This window comes from Homo sapiens, chromosome 1 (assembly GCF_000001405.40).
Source record: "Homo sapiens chromosome 1, GRCh38.p14 Primary Assembly".
NCBI lineage: Eukaryota > Metazoa > Chordata > Mammalia > Primates > Hominidae > Homo > Homo sapiens.
The window spans coordinates 98,655,664-98,677,806 of NC_000001.11; the positions used below are offsets into that span (position 1 = coordinate 98,655,664).

At 39.5% G+C, this 22,143-nt stretch overlaps 1 protein-coding gene and 1 long non-coding RNA gene across 10 annotated transcripts in view, besides 3 other annotated features; one reads left to right on the top strand and one right to left on the bottom strand.

Annotated features, from left to right (window-relative positions):
* Positions 1-4,643: 4,643 nt before the first annotated feature.
* On the bottom strand, positions 4,644-5,109 carry SNX7-DT (SNX7 divergent transcript). Its single transcript, NR_189290.1, has one exon. It is a non-coding gene; the product is annotated as an SNX7 divergent transcript (long non-coding RNA).
* Positions 5,110-5,655: 546 nt separating this feature from the next.
* The window catches only part of SNX7 (sorting nexin 7), a 99,182-nt gene continuing 82,694 nt past the window's right edge, over positions 5,656-22,143 (top strand). For 3 of the 9 annotated variants that reach the window (NM_015976.5, XM_006710677.3, NM_152238.4), the window contains exon 1: positions 6,058-6,248. In NM_015976.5, coding sequence (NP_057060.2) covers positions 6,069-6,248 — 180 coding nt within the window. In that variant the 5' untranslated portion in view covers positions 6,058-6,068. Of the gene's footprint in view, positions 5,891-6,057; positions 6,720-7,033; positions 7,154-7,272; positions 7,296-22,143 lie in introns of those variants that run through there. The other 6 variants (NR_033716.2, NM_001364903.1, XM_011541564.4 and 3 more) reach the window with 5 other exon arrangements.
* Positions 5,860-5,999: a silencer, noted in NCBI's record as "silent region_1111". NCBI's record gives its function as "represses an Ori minimal core promoter by ATAC-STARR-seq in GM12878 lymphoblastoid cells {active_cell/tissue: GM12878}" and the evidence as "EXISTENCE:reporter gene assay evidence [ECO:0000049][PMID:35858748]".
* Positions 6,020-6,139: a silencer, noted in NCBI's record as "silent region_1112". NCBI's record gives its function as "represses an Ori minimal core promoter by ATAC-STARR-seq in GM12878 lymphoblastoid cells {active_cell/tissue: GM12878}" and the evidence as "EXISTENCE:reporter gene assay evidence [ECO:0000049][PMID:35858748]".
* Positions 6,370-6,439: a silencer, noted in NCBI's record as "silent region_1113". NCBI's record gives its function as "represses an Ori minimal core promoter by ATAC-STARR-seq in GM12878 lymphoblastoid cells {active_cell/tissue: GM12878}" and the evidence as "EXISTENCE:reporter gene assay evidence [ECO:0000049][PMID:35858748]".

A 22,143-nucleotide genomic window follows, 5' to 3' on the forward strand; every position in this document is an offset into this window, starting at 1 on the left:
GTAGTTATTCTTTTATTTATTTAATAATGTATATTTTGTATATTGTTTATTTAAAGTTCTTTGAGGCTCTACTCCTAAAAGTTTTATATGATGCTTCTGATCCATGATAGTTTCCTCAAATGCTTTAAATTATGTATTATGATCTCATCTGCAGTATAGTTTTATCTGTTGAAACTGTCGAGAGTGAGTTGAGAAAGAGATCTTTTTATTTGATTATGCCAGAGTTCCCAGTTATATCACTAACTCAAGAACACTTTTAATATTTTGAACTGTGACTTCCCAAACCATGAGTAAGATTTTCGGGCAGATATCTTTCCTACGTGGAGCCCAGGCTGATCCAAAAGAGTATTGTTATTGACTGAATCTCTTATAAGTTTATATTTCCCTTATTCCCATGATAGCTCAAACACAAACCTTTAGATTATTGAGACCAATCCTACACATTCCACCCTGGGGACAGGCAGACTAGCAGCCCAAATATTTACAAATTTCATTCTCTGACATAAGGTTACTTTGTTTCTTGTCTCCTTAAAGTTAATTACTTTTTTGCAAATTCAACCATGAATTTAAAGATTCTTGTTACAGTTCTTCAGGATTGGTAGTGGAAGAATTTTAGAATTATCTGTTCTGCTAAATTCCAAGAGCTGAGAATCCCTGAATATCCTTATAAATCCTCCTTTATATTTTATTTTTCTTTAGAGTCTTACTCTGTCACCGGTCCGGAGTGCAGTAACACAATCATAGTTCAGGGCAGCCTCAAACTCCTGAGCTCAAAAGATTCTCACACCCCAGCCTCCCTAGTAGCTGAGACTACGGGCATGCACACCACCACCAACAGCTAATTTAAAAAAAGTTTTTTTTTTTTTTTTTTTTTTTTGAAGCAATGGGGTCTCCTTATGTTGCCCAGGCTGGTCTCGAATTCCTGGCCTCAAGTTACTCAAGTTATCCTTCTGCTTCAACCTCCCAAAGTGCTAGGATTACAGGCATGAGCCACCATATTTGGCCTCTTTTCTATTTTTAAAGACAACATTATGTAACATTCTTTTCAGTGAGGAGTAAATTATTTCCCACTTATTACTTACCTTGGGTAAATTACTAAACTTCTCTGTTCATCAGTCTCCTCATCTGTAAAATGGGGATGGTAATAATAGCGTCTACATCCTAAGGTGTTTGTGAAGATTAAATGAGTGCCCATGCATAAAGCACTTATAAGAGTGTCTGACTCAAGTAGACATTCACTACCTTTCACTGTTTTTTTTTTGTTTTGTTTTGTTTTTTGTTTTTTTGAGACAGAGTCTCGCTCTGTTGCCCAGGCTGGAGTGCAGTGGCGCGATATCGGCTCACTGCAAGCTCCGCCTCCCGGGTTCACACCATTCTCCTGCCTCAGCCTCCTGAGTAACTGGGACTACAGGCGCCCACCACCACGCCTGGCTAATTTTTTCTTTCTTTTTCTTTTTTTTTTTAGTTGAGACAGGGTTTCACCGTGTTAGCCAGGATGGTCTCGATCTCCTGACCTCGTGATCTGCCAGCCTCAGCCTCCCAAAGTGCTGGGATTACAGGCGTGAGCCACCACGCTTGGCCTACCTTTCACTGTTAATATTACTGATGAGCCTGTAGAGAATAAGGATACTCTGTGGGGCCTGTGACAAGTTCTGAAAGAAAATCAAAAAGACTAATGTTTTAGAGCAAAATGTGCTCTCTCTGATAGATTTAAGAAACCAGCCATTGGCTTGTTACCAGGTTTTGGCGAAGATGAGTGCGTTAGTCTGTTTTGTATTGCTATGAAGGAATACCTGAGGCTGGGTAATTTATAAAGAAGAGAGATTAATTTAGCTCACAGTTCTGAAGCCTGTACAAGCATGGCATCAGCATTTTCTTGGCTTCTGCTGAGGCCTCAGGAAGCTTACACTCATGGCAGAAGGCAAAGGGGGCACAGACAGGCATGTCATAGGACAAGAGAGGGAGTGAGCGAGAGAGAGAGATTCAGAAAAAGAGTCAGAGTGAGAGAGAGAGAGATAGGTGCTATGCTCTTTTTTTTTAAACAATCATTTCTTGTGTGAACTAATAGAGCAAGAACTCACTCACTACCACAGGGAGGGCACCAAGCCATTCATGAGAGATCCTCCCCCATGACCCAAACATCTCCCATTAGGCCCCACCTCCAACATTTGGGATCACACTTCAACATAACTTTAGGAGGGGACAAATAGCCAAACAATATCAACTAGATACATAAGCATGTGACATCAGGTGACTATGTGATCCAAGCAGCTCCTCATGAAATGGGTGCTATAATGAAAAAAATCCTAAAATTGATCCAGCCTTACTTCAGCAAGCCATGCTCATGTGGAAATGTAATATTTGAAAGTGGTCCTATAAGCATACATTGCATGAGCATTTGGCTTTTACTCTCAGCAGGTCTACCCCTATGATCTCATAGGGAGTTTTATCTGAACAGTTAACTAAGGGGTAAAAACTCCAAAGTTGGTTTACAGATGGATCTTTATCATTTGCGGGAATCAGTTAGTAGTTATTGCAGTGCAAAAGGGCAGTGGACAAGGGAAATCCTCCTCTTGGTATACAACAGTGCCCACTATGCTTCAAAGGGCAGTTAGAATGAGGCTTCTATGCTCTTTCCAGGACAAAGGCTAGAGGTTTGACTTGATGAGACTTAGAAGAAACAAGGTAGGATCTCGGGGTCAAGAAGGTTTGAGAAAATGTATGTAGGTGACTTTCTTGGAATGGCCCCAGAATAAAAGCATATTTGTATGTAGCCCACAACAATGCTCTCCAAAAAAGCCTTTTCATTTGATGAATTTATGTCATCAGAAATAAGTTTGAAAATAATGCTTATTCTCCTGTGGATGTTAATCTTACTGCTTTTCTAGAAACTCCAGTGCTTGTTCTATGGCTTCACATACCATGTGGCCATGGTGGCAGGGATTTATGCTATGCATTGGCTCAAAAATAAGGATTTCCTCTCACTAAAGGATAATTGGCTGCTTCCATTGCTCAGCACTCAGCTTGCCACAGCAACTATGCAGGACCCTTACCCTGCCACACTGGAGGATGCCATGATTTGTCTTTAGTGGAAAAGTCAAATTGGCTTTGCTTTTTCTGCTCATCAGATTTCCCTCAACACGCTCGTCCATGAACTTATTGACTGGTCTATTCCTCAGTAGATTTTGCACATTATATTTTTTTCTAACTAGTTAAATCACTTTCTAGCAAAAGAAGTAAAGCCTTTGGGCAATGCCCATGGGGTAACTTGTCTCATCACAAAACCCATTACTAGAAACAGCAGACTTCATAGATGGTGGAATTGAATATTAAAGATCCAGTTATGGTCTGAAGAGATCCCATCTGGAAAGTATAAGGGAGAGAAAGCTTTTTGACAAGATGTATATTCATGAAACCATAAATTAATGTATGATATTATTTCTCTTAAACAGGACAGGAGTGGGTAGGGCTGCTCTTAATATTATACTTGCACTCCAAGTTTTGGACTATGCTGGTTTAAAGGCTTTAGTACCCAAGTAAGAATTCTTCCATTAAAAAACCTAGTGATAGGCTGGGCACGGTGGCTTAAGCCTGTAATCCCAGCACTTTGGGAGGCCGAGGCGGGTGGATCATGCAGTCAAGAGATCGAGACCATTCTGGCCAACATGGTGAAACCCTGTCTCTACTAAAAATACAAAAAATTAGCTGGGCGTGGTGGCGCACGCCTGTAGTCCCACCTACTCAGGAGGCTGAGGCAGGAGAATCGCTTGAACCCGGGAGGCGGAGGTTGCAGTGAGCAGAGATCACGCCACTGCACTCTAGCCTCGGCGAGGGAGTGAGACTCTGTCTCAAAAACAAACAAACAAACAAACAAAAAAACCCAGTGATAGTCCCACTTAATAGGAAGCTGAGACTACAGGAGGAATAGACATACTGCTTTGGAGTTGTACTAATAATGAGTAGGTTTGGGATTATCTCCCTTTGAGGGGCTGTGAACTGCATGCTCAGGTGCTCAAAGCATGGAGGTAGGGGGAGTATGTGAAGAAAGGTAATATTAATTGGACAGCCAAAGGGGCAAATTATAGTCACGTTTTCCCTACTCTTCTTCCTCATCCTACCCCTCTTCCTATTTTTCTTGTTTTTGGTTGACAAGCATCAATATGGCCTTTCTATGTTTAGAAAATTCTCTGCCTTAGGAATTTCCATGAAACTTGGCCAGATTGGCCAAGCACACATACTCTCCAGGGTTTTAATACTAGAAAAATCAACACAGAGAAACAGGGTGATGGAGACATTTTTGTGGCAGTAATAGCAGGGAAGTTCTCAGAGGTAGCTGTGGTACTGCTGCCAGGGAAAGCAACTGGAGTCCAGTAACATCAGTGTTAATGACAATATTGACACTGGTGAAGATGGTGTGGCAACCAGTATCAGGCAATGGTAGCAGCAATGTCTGTACCACTGGTTCTGTGGCCTTGCTTTTGGCTATAATCCAAGCTGTGCAGCCTTGCTTTATTCTGCCCATTTTCTGAGCCCATTCTCTATGGTTTCTAGCAATTCTGTGAGTTACAGCATTATTAAGAATTTCCTGGTTCAGATTGCAATTAGAAAACCTTGAATCTTCCTTACTAGTCAGAATAAGCTTATCAAGGAAAAAATAAAGTCTTTTAATAACTTATATTATTTACAGAAATTAGCAGAGAGCATTTTGAGAGTACATCTGATACTGTGGTTAATACATATCAGGATCCTCAACCTGAAAATGTTATCATTTACTAAGGAATGGAAAACTTGTACATGAAACAAATACAATCTGCAAGATGGAATAAAATTAAATGCTAAATTGAGAACAGACTGTCATTTAGAAAGTCTTTCTGAAAGAGATGGGACTATATTTAATTTCTGAAGGATGGGCAGGAGATGGCATTTAAAGTACAGAAATCATCAAGCACAGAAACAAATGTGGATACTCATGGGGCAGTGACCAACCTGACTGAAGGGTGGGTGCACGTCTGAAATCAATGGGAATACATTTGAATGATTAGGAGATAATATATTATTAAGGCCTTGCCTCTAATCAGAAATAAAGATATTCTCTATTTCCCCAAATAAGGAATTCTTACATAGAGCTTAATGTATTTAAAAATTTTTAAATGGGCCTACAGAAAAGAGGTGGGGCTGACGGAAGTAAATAAAACCTGAAGATAAATTAAAGAATATATCAACGTGGGCAAAATTTTCCATTAGTTTTGGAACTTAGTTTTGTTTTTGAATAATAAGCAGTTAAATAATTAAAGCTTTGCCTTGGCAATGCAAGGACTGAAGATTATTTCTCGGTGGCAATTTTCCAGACTTGCTAGTTGTCCTTGGGTCTTGGTAACATTCTGCTCATTAACTTCAGGAAGACGTCCAGGAGTAAAGATGCATTTGAAAGTGGCTGAAAATAGTTTGTAAAGCTCAGCTTTCCTGGCTCGACAGTGAAATGACCGCACAGGCCAGTCACTGGGTCAAAAATCAATTAACAAAACGGGAAGTTTTCATGTCTTTATTTTTACATTAGCTCGAAAATCACAACCAAGAAGAAAGGCAACCACTGAATACAGGAAATACAGTATTGTTATTGCTGTTTTTTTTTTTTCTCTTGGCAAGGCTGGGTCGGGTGCCTTCCAGCCTCGCTGTGGATCCCGCGAAGTGGACGGTTCGCTTCGTGGCTTCTTCCCAGACCCCGCCACTGCGGAAACCGTCACTCGGTGGCCCCCGACTGGGTCAATGCGAGGACGCCCACCTCCTACCTTTGAGTCTCTCCTCTTCTCCAGGGTACAGCCAACCCTTTCTCCAACGTAGCCGGAGTCCGAGAGTCCCAGTTCCGCCCCTCCAGCCCGCCCCAGGCCAGGTGGGGATGCGCCCGGCCCGGGCCAGCGCTGGTCCCGGCAGTTCCGCGTCTGCGCAGCGGGCGAGGGGCTGGAGCGGGGCCGGCCGGGGAGGTGCAGGAGACGTGGGAGCCAATGGGCACGCTCGGGGGAGCCGGGCTGGCGGCGGCGGTGGCGGCCGGCTGGGCGCGCACTCTCGGGATGGAGGGCGAGCGCCGGGCATCGCAGGCGCCCTCCTCGGGCCTCCCGGCCGGGGGCGCCAACGGGGAGAGCCCGGGGGGCGGCGCCCCCTTTCCGGGCAGCAGTGGCTCTTCCGCCCTGCTGCAGGCGGAGGTGCTGGATCTGGACGAGGACGAGGACGACCTGGAGGTGTTCAGCAAGGTGAGGGCGGCGGCGGCGAGTCCCGGGAAACTTCCAAGGCAACTCCGGGCGTTGCCAGCATTGCGCCGACGGCTGCCTCTGGCGCGCTTGCCCTCCCGGGGCGGTGGCTCTGAGCTGGGGACGAGTGAGGTCCCCCGGGCTGCTGGACCCCGCCTGCCAGCTCTGGCCGCACCCGGGGCCGCGTCGCCTCGGGGCCTCAAACCGCAGCCGCTCCCTCCTCCGCACTTTGACCTTCCGTTCGGCGGGGCTGTGGCTTAGTGGAGTCTGCAAAGTTGTGATTTGTTTTCCCTTTCTGCTTCTCTGACACAGACATCTTCCTCGCGGCAGCTCCCGAACCTGGGAGGCTGGTGGCTCAAAACCGCTCCCGCCAGCTGCTTTTCGGGCGAGGCCAGCCCTGAACTCTGGGAGAGCAGCCAAGTTTAGAGAAATTATTCTTAATTTAGTGTTGTTGCTTGTGGATTTGAGACTTGGGTGAGTCTCGGGTCTTGTGGGAATAGGTTCTAGGAAATCTCCCTGAACAGGAGAAAACGGTTGTTTCTAACAGGAAGCTCCTCCGCTGAGGAGCTAAGGATTTTTCAGATGGTCAGCTACTGCCACCCAACCCACAGCCAGTGCTTTCGTTTTTCCTTGCCCCCGGGAAATTTAGGACCAAAGGCTCTTATTTGCTTATTTTACTGTTGGAGGGAAATTGACTTGTGGGGGCTAGTGGTAGACTTTTGGTACGTGTAGACTGGTGTTTGTAATTTCTTAAAGGGTTTTAGAAAAGAAAAATACCTTTCTTGCAGGGAGGTTGAATGTCACTCCAGTTTCTCAAGTTGCTGCTGAGAGAAGACCTGAGTTCAGATCACAACGCTGTATTCATTACTAAGAAGCCTGTTCATTTTAACGTTACCTGGAGATATTAGGTAAAGCAAACGACCTACTTAACCACCGCATTTACTCTGGGAGAGCAAACCAAAGTTAGGAAGTGACCATGCATACTCTGACTCCAAAGAGGAGTATATAAAACTTATTTCTACTTCGGTTTAAATGGAATGATAGGCCCAGGTTTGTATTCCGAATATTTAAACAGACTATCACAGTTTTGTGCTCTTGACTTTTCTGTTAAGTAGTAAAACAATGGAATTATTTTATGTTTAGTTGTAAACTCTGCCTTTTTATATTCCACACATACTTCATGTTCAGATCAACGACAGTTGGCCAGTTGGTTATTTACTTTCTTTCCTTCTTTACATTGCTGTTTGGATAAGGAATATTAGTCTATGGTTATGCATTGTGAAACTTTGGGATGGGATGTTGGAAATAGCAATGGTGTATCAGAATCATCAGGGTTTCTTTCTGGTTTTTTTTTTTTTTTTTTTTTTTTTTTTTTTTTTTTTTTGTCGGGGCTGGACCCATCTGGCCTCAAGGGATTCTACCACCTCCAGCACCCAAAGGGTTTGGGATTACAGGCTTGAGCCACAGTGACTCGGATTGTTTTAAACTTGTCAAGTGGTTTCTCTTTCCCCAGATTCTAGGTGTTCTAGCTGACTCTTAAGAATCAATGTTTAAATGAGGTCCTCTTGTCAGAGGCAGATCCAAGGTGAAGCTAATGAAATTGAAGCTTCAGCGCTATTCGTTTGCTTAGACCTCTGGGCGTGTTGGGGGTTGCTGGAGTCGCAGATGTTCTAGGTGGGAAGGAAATGACAGGTCCCGACCAGAAGCATTTCTAAATAAGCATTTCTGGTGAATTGCCTAAAGCTCTCTCAGACTAAGGAATCTAGATCTCCATGGCTCCAATCATTTATTGAGATTTCTTTTCTCATTCTGAATAATGTGTTTTTCCACCTAATTTTGTATTCTTTTAAAAGGGGACCTTCCAAACTCTAAAAGCCCGTACACCTGGGTCCACCCTGCTTGTTAGTGTTAACTGCGCGTGTTGGATGCTTAGAAAAAGTTAAGAACAACTTCTGTAGAAACTGCCCACATAGATTAAGGCAAAGATATAATATTAGTGAAAATCCAACAAGAGTAGTTGGAAAAGTTTAAAATTAGCCACTTTCATCCATTTCAGTAAGTTGAATTTCTCAACCGTTATCTGTAGTTAAGCAAATTTAAGAAAGCCTGCTCCACGTGGCCTTCCCTTTCCACTACCTTCCTTGCCTGCTCCTCTATAAAACAAACACCACTGCTGTTCAGCCTATCCTAGGATGGAATCTCACAATTACTTATGAAGCAAACTGTCCTTCCCTTTTAGTAATTTGAGATTGGCAAACTACATATTTAATTTACATTCACCTTTATAGTCCCCTTATTCTCTTAGATTATTTGTGAATATGTGTCTGGTATACTCTTCCAGAAGCTTTTTAAAGAGTATGAATTTCCCCAGCACTTTGGGAGGCTGAGGCTAGCGGATCACTTGAAGTCAGGAGTTCACAACCAGCCTGGCCAACATAGTGAAACCCCATCTTTACTAAAAATATAAAAATTAGCCGGGTGTGGTGGTGGGAGCCTTTAATCCTAGCTAACCGGGAAGCTGAGGCAGGAGAATCTCTTGAACCCGGGATGCAGAGGTTGCAGTGGGCTGAGAGATCACGCCACTGCATTCCCACCTGAGTGACGGAGTGAGACTCTGTCTCAAAAGAAAAACAAAACAACTTCTTATTATTTTTTTTCCACAACGTATTACAAGTACATGGCAAATATACATTTTGTGTTAAGTATGCTTTAAAAAAAAGAAATACAAGATTTAGTTCTTGCTATCACAATCTTATACTCCAGGTGGGAAGATGTGACAAACTCTAAATGGCAATATAAATCAAGAGGGATGGAAAGTAAAACAAAGTTGTTCTGAATTTTCTTATAATCCAGTGAGAAGAAAATGATGCCAGACCTCAAGAGAATGCAGAGGACATTGATTTAAAAGAACGGGGATAGATGTTAGAAGGAAGAGAACAGAACCAATCATACAAAAACAGTAAAAATAAAAAAATAAAAAAGATACACAAATGGTAACAAGAGCCTAAGAATTATTTTAGAACTAGGTCACAATGAGATGAGGCTTCCAAAAAATTTAACTGGAGAAAAAGGGCCAGTTTCTTCACGTTTAAAGGAAAAAATCCTCCTCTTTGGGGAAAAACAATAAATTAAAATAAATTGCCTTTATTTTTATTGAATACTGTATAAAAGAAACAGCTGTGGATACAGTGTATGTGATTAGGCCACAATGAAGCACTGAGATGCTTATCTGGTACTCAGTAAATGATAGCTCTAATTGGCCTCTTTAAAGATATTCGGGATCATAAAAGTGAGATATATATCATCTAGGATAATCAGGGAACTTACAGGTGTAATCATCCTCATCACCACTAGTCATCTTTGAGAAATCATGAAATGCAATAATGGTTCCCTGAAACTAGAGATAGGTAAATATTGTTTTTAAAAATAATGGGCAAAATGGGAGTTCTGGAAGGTAGCGAACAGTAGGTTTCATTTCAATCTCCAAAAAAGCCATGAAATGAATTATTTAGTATGTTGTTTATACACACTTTGAAAAAAACATGATCAATAGAAGCTACAAGTTTTATAAGAATAATGAAAGACTTAAGATTGTGTTTATGGTAAATCAGAGTTATAATGACATGATTGAGCAAGGCTTTTGAAAAAAATCACTCATTTCTTCAGAAAAGGTTATTTATTTATTTGTTTATTTTTTGAGATGGAGTTTTGCTCTTATTATCTAGGTTGGAGTGCAGTGGCACAATCTTGGCTCACTGCAACCTCTGCCTCCCGGGTTCAAGCAATTCTCCTGCCTCAGCCTCCTGAGTAGCTGGGATTACAGGCATGCGCCACCATGCCTGGCTAATTTTTTGTATTTTTAGTAGAGACAGGGTTTCATCATGTTGGCCAGGCTGGTCTCAAACTCCTGACCTCAAGTGATCCACCCGTCTCGGCCTCCCAAAGTGCAGGGATTACAGGCGTGAGCCACCGTGCCCAGCTGAAAAGTTTATTTCTGAAAGAATAAAGTTGAGACATCTAACATACACATGTATACATATCTTTATATGTATATATATATTTTTTTCTTTGTCAATTTGGAAATTCAGTATAGTGATGGAGCGGCATAATTATACTATTCATCTATTCTATCAAATAATTAGAAAAAGATTAGGAAGTCCTGCTTACTAATTTCTCACATATATTCTCTGCACAGTCTATTTGGTTTCTGTTGTGTGCCTATATCAGTCATCACTCTGATAAAAATCAGAATTCTCTCCAATGATTTAAATGAGAGTTGAATGCGGGGACTATTTATGGAATTATTGGCAGAGTTAGTGAACAAACAAGGAATACTGAGGCATTTAGAGAGTTGTAGTGGGAAAAAGCTATTAGCATCCCTAGCTTTAAAGGGACAAGAAATGGAAATAGCATTGCTGGAAACCAGTCAGACCTGGAGCTGTGGAGATGGGGACACTTCTTCAGGAACTGCATTTACAGAGAGAGGTAGCTACTGCCGGAAACGTGCCAAAGCAGGAGGAAATAAGGGGTATGTTCCCTGAATTCCTCTCCTCCTGCCTTTGGATCTCCTGCTTGCACTCCTCTTTGAGTGGTCTTGCTAAGGTGATGTCATCTATAGGTGCCAGCCTCCTAGGGCACAGAAAATAGATGGGTGGGGTCGTAGGACATAGTACAACAATGTGGAGAGTTACTTTCAATAAAGGTGACTGTGTCAGTATCTCTCATTGTATATGCTCTTCTATGATGTGACCTGCCACTCTCCTACGGAGAGATGGTATAAGTGCTGCTTTCCTTGAACTTGGGTGGGATTATGACTGCCTTGATCTATAGGATATGGTGGAAGTGATGCTGTGCAACTTCCCAGGCTAGATCATGAAAGGGAATGTAGGTTTCGTGTTGTCCAGTGGGACACTGTGCTTTTTGGAGCACCATGTAAGAAATGCAACCTAAAACCTCCATGTTAGGAAACCCATGTTACATTGAAACCATATGTAAATGCTTGGTCAGCAGCCCTAGCCGAAGTCCCTGGCACTATCCAGCATTAAGTGGCAGGCTTTCATGTGAAGATGTCTGTATGATTTCAGCCTCCAGCATTCATGTGCCCTCAGCCATCAAGTCTTTTCAGTTGAGCCCTCATGTATAATGGAGGAGAGACAAGACATTTCTGCTGTGTGCTTCCTGAATTCCTGCATAAACCAGTGAGCATAATAAAATCTAAAACAATAAAATCGTTTTATACGACTATGTTTTCAGATTGTTTGTTACACAGCAGTAGTAACTATAACAATAGCTAATAGTCTGTATATCATAATCAGCCTTCCAAATCTTTTGATAAGTTAGAACATTGTATTCAGAAGTAGACTATGGAATTTAATTGGGATAAATATGAAGTTCTGAAGAAAGCTCCATTAGTCATTGTAAGTAAAAATACCATTAAGATATAAGCTTAGTGGTTAGGAGTAGAAACTCTCTTTTCTTTTTATTTGAGACAAGGTCTCACTCTGTCACCCAGGCTAGAGTGCAGTGGCGTGATTTTGGCTCACTGCAACCTCCACCTCCCAAGGCTCAAGCTATCCTCCTACCTCAGCCTCCCCAGTAGCTGGGACTACAGGTGCACACTGCCACACCCAGCATTTTTTTTTTTTGTATTTTTAGTAGAGATGGGGTTTTGCCATGTTGTCCAGGCTGGTCTCGAATTCCTGACCTCAGGTGATCTGCCCACCTCGGCCTCCCAAAGTGCTGAGATTGCAGGTGTGAGCCACCACACCTGGTCCAGGAGTAGGGACTCTAACTACATTGCCTGCATTTGAAATCCTGGCTGCACTGCTTACTAGTATTATTGCCTAAGGCAAGTAACTTAATGTCAATGCGTCAGATTTTTCATCTGTAAAATGAGGATAAATACTAATGACGATTACATGCCCTAATATGTATGTTCCCCTTTCCCTAAGGCCTACATCCTGATCTTGTCTTAGTGGGCCTTACCATTTTGATGATTAGGAAAAAAAAAACAAAAAAAACAAAACAAACAAACAAAAAAAACAATAAAACAAAATAGGGCTGATCCAGGACTACTTATATTTCTCTTGCAAAAAATTTCACTCTGTGCCATTATAGCTCTCTTATAGGTTAAGTATTCTTTTATATTTCTCCTTGGGGAGGAAGTCTAGGTAGGTGAAATAGAAAGAAGGTGAAAAGCTCTAAGTTTCTCTTTTTGAGGTAGCATATATGATCAACAATAAAACCAAAACAAGGAAACTTCAGAATAAGTTTGGGGAGACCTTGTATAGGACCATTTTATGTGCAAACATTCCTAGTGGTTTTCAGTGACTGAAAAACCAGTATACACAAATGACATGATATTGAATTTAAACACCATATTTTCAAGGTCATATAGGGTATTAATTTTAATGTAAATTTGAACTCTCCATGCCACTTCAGAAGATCCATTCCACTCTCAGCATTTTAAAAGGAGAATTAACAGTTGATGTCAAAAAATGGCAGAGGAATAAGGCCTCATCTTCAGATGCCAGTGCCTTGTTATGGATTCTTTGGAATACTGTGTTAAGATGGAGCTGAAATCTGGTCTGAGCTTAGAAAGAGGGCTTAGATCCATTAACACTGTCTTCCTTTGGCACAGGAAGTAGCAACAGTTTTGACACACGTATTTGCTATCCATGAAAGAGAGTCCACTAAGGGATTTCACTGATGATATGTTCTGTTAACCATGGCCTGTGAAGAAAGTCTGGTGAAGAACAAAAAGTGATTTAGCTTGGAAGAGATGGGTTAATTCTTTTAATAACTCCTTATGAACACTTACTATGATCTAGGTGGATTAAATGTTTACAGTTTTGAAGGGCAAAACTAGGACCACTGGGTCAAAAAATAGAAGTTTCAGGTTAATTCAGAAAATAGATTTCTAATTAAAGTTTCCAAAATGAAAGGGATTGCCCAACAGGATCGTGAATTCTGTCACTAAAAATGTTCTGGTACAAGCTGGATGACTAACTGTCCCAGAGGAGAGGAGGGTGTGACAGTTGAACTGTCCTTTTTTACTAAGGCTGTTCCAGTGGAATTTTAACTTACTAAATTTAACTGTAAGAGCAGTGGAAAGTCTTAATTAGATGGGCCTATTCATCCCTTCAGTTTATTTCCAACTGGACTATGTTCTGCCATTCTCCAATTCTTAATTTCTCTTCCCCAACCCGTTGTCTTTTCCATTTAATTTTCTCCTAGTGATGTAATAATTCCTTAGGTGTCCAGGATAAAATCCTCAGTGTTTACCTTCTAATCATCCCTCTCATGCACTCTCCATGTCTGTTCATATATCTGAATGTCCCCATCATTTTTACCTTTTTGATATCTCTGGAATTAGTGCCTCCTTTCAGTTTCCTCTCCTATGTTTGGGGTGGTTGTGTAGTTACCTCTGAGAACTATTGAAATAGCCTCATAAGGTCTTCATTCTCCTAATATTCTGCCCCCATTCTATGTGTTCCCAGCAAATCAGTGTTTCCAGAGCACACAGCTCTGATCATATTGTCACCATTTGCCATTCACAGCTGTTGATGTTTAGGCTGTCAGCCTTCTCCTTCACCCCCACTCTCTTTCCTGGAGAGCCTCACTATTCAGTTCCATGACTGTTACATCACCTGGGAGCTGGTTACAAATGCAGTCTCAGACCCCAGTGAATTGGAATCTGATTTAAACAGGATTTGTGGTAATTTGTTTCCACCGTACAATTTGAGAAGCACTGATCTAGGTTGGTCCACTTGCCACTATGTGAACTTACTGTGTATTTTTCTACTTTTGTGTAGTTATTGTTAGGGCAGTGAAACAAAACCTTTTCTGTTACTCATCATCCCTAAGAACCTTCTTCAATCCTCAGCTGGAATTAATTTTTTCCAGTCTGTGCTCTCCATACTAGTGTTTTGAATCATCTAATGCTTAATACATTCTGCCTTATAAATAGATATTATTTCTCTTTTCCAAAATCTTGATTGCTTGTCTGTTTTCAATAGATTAAGCTCTCAAAGGTAGGAGAGTAGGAACTCTATTTACAGAATAAATACATAAATGAATGACGTAGCCTCTGACTTTTTTCATATTTATAGAGACAGTTATTACAGCAATTTGCTGGTGATCTGTTTTTAGTGAATTCAGTTTGTATCATACTGGTCTTTCCTGTCAGGATACTAAACTACATAGAATTAAATTAGTCTTAATTAATGGTGAGTAATGTTATTGTTTGATGATACAGAGAGCTATGTTGAGCCTCAATCCTGAACAAAATCTCCCATTTAGATTATATTAGAAGAAATAAACACAAAGCATAAAAAATCCAAGATAACAATTTAGAAACATTCTTTTACTTGAAAAAAAACCATATTAAGCTATTAATACTATAATAGCACCTGCCTCAGGGAGCTTGATTACAAGTAGTGGAAGCCAACTCTGGCAGGAAAGAAGTGCAATCTTGAATATTAGATTGCTCACAGAGTAGATGTAAAGGCTGGAAATGCAGCTGCAGAAAGGGACAGGCGCTAGCAGAAACTATAGCCAATCGTATATAGTCATGTGCTGTGTAAGGAACGTTTTGGTCAATGATGGACTGCCTAAGATTGCAATACTGTGTTTTACTGTACCTTTTCTAATCATGTGTTACAGCTGCCTACAGTTTTCATAACAGTAACATGTACAGGTTTGTAGCCTGGGATCAATAGGCTATACCATCTAGCCTATGTATGAAGTAGGGTATATGATCTAGGTTTGTGTAAGTGAACTCTATGATGTTCACACAATGACAAAATTTCCTAAGGATGCATTTCTCAGAACCTGTCCCCATCATTAAATGACACATGCCTGTATTTGGAAAGGGGATTGGATGTTGTATAAACAAAGAAAAAAAAATTATGAGGACCTATAGGAAAGAGAGCTACAGCTCTTTTATGTAGAGACAGTGAGTTTTATTTATTTATTTATTTATTTATTTATTTATTGGTCAGGAGCAATGAGGAAAGTTATTACAAATATTTTGAGAAAATGATGTTAAAAGGCTCCAGATTTAAACTTAGTGTACTCTAAAAAGAATACTTTATTTCCGTGAGTTTTAAAGATAAAGTTTTATGTTTGTATCCTTGAGGGTCCTCATAGCCTGCTGTAGTTTTACAAGTAGCTAGTGTGATCAAAAAGAAACACAGATTCAATAGCTATGTGGTTACAGTGTTAAAAATTTATTTTATTCATGTTTATTTATTTGTGTCCCACACTTTCCAAAGAAGATATGAGACTAAAAGTTAAACATTTTCATTGGAGTCACCTTAAGTATATACAGTTTTCTCAATAAACAGGTAAAGAGTTATATGCTTAAAAGATTTTGCTCATTTTAAACAGAATATTTGATTAACTTTGGATTGCATGTATCAATCAAGCTGGATAATAGTGTGTTACCTCTAGTATTAATAAAAAAAGACAATTAAAATTATTAGCAAATACTGACATAAAAATCTGCTTGTGTTAAAACATAGGGTTAAACCAACAGTTTTAACATTGAAATGGAAAAATTTTATTATTTTTGACTTTGAGAAATGCTTTTATATGACATGCTCTTTTTTTCTTTTTAAATTCAATTTTATTGAGTATAATTTACATACCATAAAATTCACCCATTTTGGGTGAATGATTTTTTTAAGATAATTAACCAGATTGTACAACTATCACTATAAACCAGTTTTAGAACATTTTCATCTCCCCAATATGATCCATTATGCCTGCTTACAGTTAATCTCTGTTTTCTCTCTGTCATAGACAAAAACCACTCATCTAAATTTTCTGTTTATATAAATTTGTCTTTTTAGGTAATTTCAAATAAATAGAATCATATCATATATGCTTTATCACAATTTTGAGATTCTTTCATTTGTCATATTTTTAGGTTCATTTCTATTAGAAAAATGATTTTATATCATAGTTTTATTTTTAGATAAGTTTTTAAGATAAACAAGCTGAATCATTTAAAGTGAAATATTAAGAAAAAAAGTCTGTTTAGAATGAAAATTAAAGCCTTATGTGTAACCAGAAACAAATGGCAAATTCTTGTTATATGAATCTTGAAAATTAGAAAAAATGAATCCCTAATTTGTTCTGAGAAAAATGTGCATGTGTATTTTGTAATCTAATTGAACACTGAATACTCTCTTCATCAGCTTTCATTAGGTTATGCTGCAGTACAACCTCGAGATTTCAGTGGCTTGCTTACAATTAAGTTTTCTTTCTTGCTCGTTTATCTGTCAGCTGTGGCTAAACTGTGATTCTGCTCTCGGCTTTGACTCTGTTCCACATATCTTCTTCATTTTGGGATCAAGACTGAAGCAGTAACCCCTAACTGGGACATGCCACTCCTGTGACAGAGGGAAAATAATATGAGCACTGGTGGAAATAGACAATGGCTCCCAGATCTTCTACCCAGATACTGCCATTGTCCAAAGCAAGTAACTGGTCAAACCAATTGGGAGGCACTGAAAATCACCTGGCAGCTGGCCAGGAGATGTAATCCGCTCACAGGAAGAAAGAAGAGGGATCATTAGGAACAATCAGACCACCTCTAACAATGGTTTTGTGGCAAAGTTATAGGCAAATGGCATCTTGGACCTTTCTGAATGAATAAAACCAAATTTTTAGAATAGAGTATTAAATACAAGAGGTAAAATTTTCTACTAAGTAAGAAATTATTCAAGTGGCCGGGCGCGGTGGCTCACGCCTGTAATCCCAGCACTTTGGGAGGCCGAGGCGGGTGGATCTTGAGGTCAGGAGATCGAGACCATCCTGGCTAACAAGGTGAAACCCCGTCTCTACTAAAAATACAAAAAATTAGCCGGGCGCGGTGGCGGGCGCCTGTAGTCCCAGCTACTCGGGAGGCTGAGGCAGGAGAATGGCGTGAACCCGGGAAGCGGAGCTTGCAGTGAGCCGAGATTGCGCCACTGCAGTCCGCAGTCCGGCCTGGGCGACAGAGCGAGACTCCGTCTCAAAAAAAAAAAAAAAAAAAAAAGAAATTATTCAAGTGTAATCAAGATAAATGGAGCTGCATTTGATATGATTAATCACCTCCAATTGGCTAATGCTCATGAAGAGTCTGAATAAGACCATACACATGCTTAACAATCTCTAGCTGTGCAACAAGTGTTTTACTTTGGGATTTTCAGGTGTAACATTCATTTATCACAGAGTGCTCCTCCCTTTTTAAAAGACTATTAGATAAAATGTATGAATACTTGAATTCTGATACAGCAAATGTGAAAATGAGCTTTGCTGGTCATTCCTTCATCACAGTCTATGTTCCAGCCATATGTCTTCTTTCTGTTCCTCAAATATTCTTCCTGCCTTGGGCCTCATTGGTTGGTCCGACTGGAATCCTGCTCTCCAAGTGTTTTGTATAGCTGACTCCTTCTCACGTTACCTCCTCAAAGAAGCTTTCCCTGACAGCTCTATGGAAAGCATTCTTCCTGCTCCCTGCAGCCCCTTTATTCAGCAACCTGCTCCATTTTTTCCTAACACTTATTCTTCTTATCTGAAATTATCTTACTTATCTATATATTTATTTGCTCATTATATGTACCCTCCCCTTCCCTCTCAACTAAAGTATAAGCTTCATGAGAGCAGGAACTCTACCAGTCTTGACCACTATTGTATCCCCAGCCCAGTGCCTGACACCTGGGTGACATGCAGTGAACATTTGTTAAATGAAATCAAAATACTATACTGAGTGCTTTTCATGTGCACATGGATGGTGAGGGTGGTTGAGTCTTGCTATCAATTAAGAGATAAGTGATTTGGGGAGAATGCTTATCATCCCTATACCACAAATTTATTCACCTGTAAAATATGGACAATGATAATTATACTTCCATCAGATTGTGGAGAGGATTAAATGAAATAATGCATGTATGTGTTGCTAAGGCACATAGTCTCTGGCACTTAGAAAACTCTCAGTATTTGCTATTATGGTATATAAGATTAATATTTTGTTTTTGACTTGTGTAAGCAGCCACTTTGAATTTGTAGTGAGATCTTCAGAGGATCACAGAAATATACTGGTTTCTATCTTTGAGGAAGCTATGTGTTTTATTTATTTCAGTGGTAGAATGTTGGAATCATCTAATTGCATTAAAGGAGGGTGGAAAAAAACATTCCCAGAAATTCCTGGAGTTGACTACTAACCTGTTAAAAAGAATGGAGCAAAGTTGAAATATTTTAATCATGATTTCTTCCTTTTAGCTTTGCCTCCATCCTCAAATTTTTATTGTGTACCATTTTAAGTGCAGAAATGCTGTGTGAGTTTGCCAGGGCTGCTGTAACAAAGTACCACAGACTGAGTGTCTTACATAACAGAAATGTATTGACTCACGGTTCTGGAGGCCAGAAGTCTGACATCAAGAAGTCAGCAGAGTTGGTTCCTTCTGAGGGCCGTGAGAGAGGGATCTGTTCCAGACTTCCCAACATGGCTTATAGATCCATGTTCTCCCAGTGTCTCCACACATCCTATTCCCTCCATCCATGTTTCTGTGTCCACATTTACCCTTTTTATAGAAAGATAGCAGTCGTAATTGGATTAGGGCCTATCCTAATGACCTCATTTTAACTTTATCAGATCTGTAGGGACCCCATGTCCAAATAAGGTCACACTCCACGGTACTGGGGATTTGGGCTTCAGCATATAAATTTGGGTGAGGGAACAATTCAACCCATAACAAATGCTTATAATAAACCCCGAGTAACAACAGAAAAACTTACACTTAATTTGTGATTTTTGCAATAAATTCTATTATCATGCTAACACCAATCTAATCCATTTATTTCAGTTAAGTTATTTAAGTGGTTTTTCTGACAGTGGATGTATTGTTTTGGAGTAAGGATAAAAGACCATGAATTCTTGCAACACAGGCTTTCTTCTCTATGAAACTCACTCAAATCTCAGCCTGAACCCATCCCAGGACTTTCTTGTGTGTGTGCATTTTCACTGTTCTAGCTACAGGAGTAAACGTGATTTAAGAAGTAGAGATTTGTCACACAGATAATTTTTATTATGCTATAATCTGTTGAAGGAAAAAATAAAAAGATATATTTTCACCATTTAAATGACCCTAAGATAATGGTCTTATATCCAAATAGAGACAGAGAGACACACATCCATTATTGTGGAGGTGAGACCTTTGTTTGGAAAGAACAAATTTTATTGATCCATTTCTCCTGAAACGCATCAACCGCAAAAGGTTAAATGGAGTTCTTTTTGGTTAATTGCTACTTTGGATCTTCCCAAACACTTATTTTCTTCAGTTATTCATGTCCAAATGTTAAGTCTTTTAAGTATTGTTAGTATATTTTCTTTCCTTTTATTGAAGTGAATATAAAACACTTTAGATAGTCAGTTTTATTGAGGTTTTAAGAATGCTTTTGAGTGATTCATAGTAATTTAAATCCTTCTACTGAAATCTTGGATGTTGCTAAATTTCAGCCTGTAATTTTCTGCCTTTGCTAGATATCGAAGCATATTTTTATGACACCACACTGTACTCATTGGAATTGTGAGCCTTTTGTAAATTCATGCAGATTTTTCCCACTCCACAAAAGGATGCATTTCAAGCGGAAGAAATAGAATGCTAAATTATGTAGTAGGTAAAAGAAGTAGGCTGTGGTGAGTTGGGAGGATGAGCAAAAAGAATGCCAAAGCACGTTTGTACGTAATGTCAGTAAAATACAAAGTACGTTTGCCCACCAAATTAAAATTTGTCAGCTTACAAAGTTGCTATTTATATACAGTGGTTTTTGAGAGAGATTTTTGTACATGCTGATTACACATTTATTTGGAAGCTCTAAATTCTGGTTTTAATGGCTGCTTAGTATTTCATTGTGTTAGCATCCCATAACTTATTATTTATCTATGCAACCTTGTTAAGAAAAAAATCAAATATAATCCGAAGTATTCTGCCAAAACAACTGTTTTATCACTACGGTTCTTACTGTCTCTTAGCACATCATGTACAATGTTGACTCTAACAATTTTAACGGTTTTTCTGGTTATAAAATATAACATATGTTTTAGAATATTTGGAAAATAAAGAAAATCACATAGAAAAATATTAAACCCAACAGCAATCCCAACATCTGGAATAATTCCTGTTAACTTTTTTTTTTAATAGCTGCTAAATTCCCTCTCTCCCTCCCTGCCCATCCCCCCAGTCATACACATACACACACATTGGAATCTGGTTTTACACAAATTTTATATTTTGCCATTTTTTTCTGAATAACATACTGTGAAACTTTTTCCAAGTTATTGTATGTTCTTCTAAATCATCTTTAAGTCACTATGTTGTATTCTATCATATGGATAGAATTCATTATACCCTCCCATAGAGATATAAAATGATTTATTTCACTGAATTTTTTTTGCAAGACATTTATTGCTTCTAAATTTTCTGTGTCTGATTAATCCAACTGAAATTTGTCTTCTACTCCTTGTGTAATGCTTAAATGATCACAAATCTTTTTGTGATAATAGGCTGAACCTTCGTAATCTTTATGACTATTGTTATTCTTCTTTCTTCAGTTAGCATATCCTGTGATAATCTCTCTTCTATTATTACATTGAAGGATGACCTAAATGTTGCATTGTAGTTCACAGAGCTAAACTTTTTGTGGGAAGAGCCTTTAAAGCAGTGCTCTGAGTATTATCGATGCTTCAAAAGCATTTTTATTGATTTGGTTTGAAGAGAAAACAAGTCCATATTATGATTTCATCTTTTTTTCCTATTCATAGTTTCACAAAAAAGTATCTCTTCCTAAAACATCAGAATTTATTACATTGTACTATATTAATGCATTTGGATCTGAGATATTTTGGAAATCATCAGGTCCAACTTTGTAATTTAACATAGAAAGGCTGAATTAGTGGTTCAGTGCCTGCTTAGTCAATGGCAGAGATAGGACCAGAAGCCATTTTTGGCCTCCTTTATGATTTTTTTTTTACTCAGTACTGGCCAACTTTGTTGCTAAGCTAAAATGGGCTTTGTTGCAGATTTAATATTCAAATACATCAGTTAACTTTATAATCTTACACATAACAACAGACAAAACTTTTGATTCCAACATCTGTATCACTACTTTAGGGGAACAAATGTATCTAAAAGAAAAAGTATAGAGTTGGAGAACAAGTTCTTACTACCACTGCAGAGATAACTCAAATATTCTATTGAGAGTGTTAGTTTTATCTTTGCATGTGAAAGAACCATTATTTGAATTTAAAGTTTACTGTAATTATCCTTATGTTTCAGTTAATTTTATTTATAAAGAATAACATGTAGCCCTTCCTTTCCCATCTTTTTCTTTCTTTTATTTAGACAAAACTATTGAAGGTGACTGAGCAGATGACCAGTGTTGCCAATTGAAATTGAAGCTGAGGAGGCATCCTGCATGGTTGGGGTTGAGAATAAGGCTGCCTTGGCCTACGTGGTCAGAGCAGAGGAGGAAGCCGGTGTGGTTGGGAGATTGGTTACATACAGGGGAATTGAGCCAATAAGTAAACATTTGGGATAATAGGAGCCAGGTTTCTCACTGCTGACTAAAAGAGTTATAAATATGGAAAAGGGAAAGGCTAGACAAGCCATGACATGTCAAATTAGAAATAGAGGTATATAGGCCAGGGGCAGTGACTCATGCCTGTAATCCCAGCACTTTGGTAGGCCGAGGTGGGTGGATCACGAGGTCAGGAGTTCAAGACCAGCCTGGCCAAGATGGTGAAACCCCGTCTCTACTAAAAATACAAAAATTAACCAGGCGTGGTGGCAGGCACCTGTAATCCCAGCTACTCGGGAGTCTGACGCAGGAGAATTGCTTGAACCCGGGA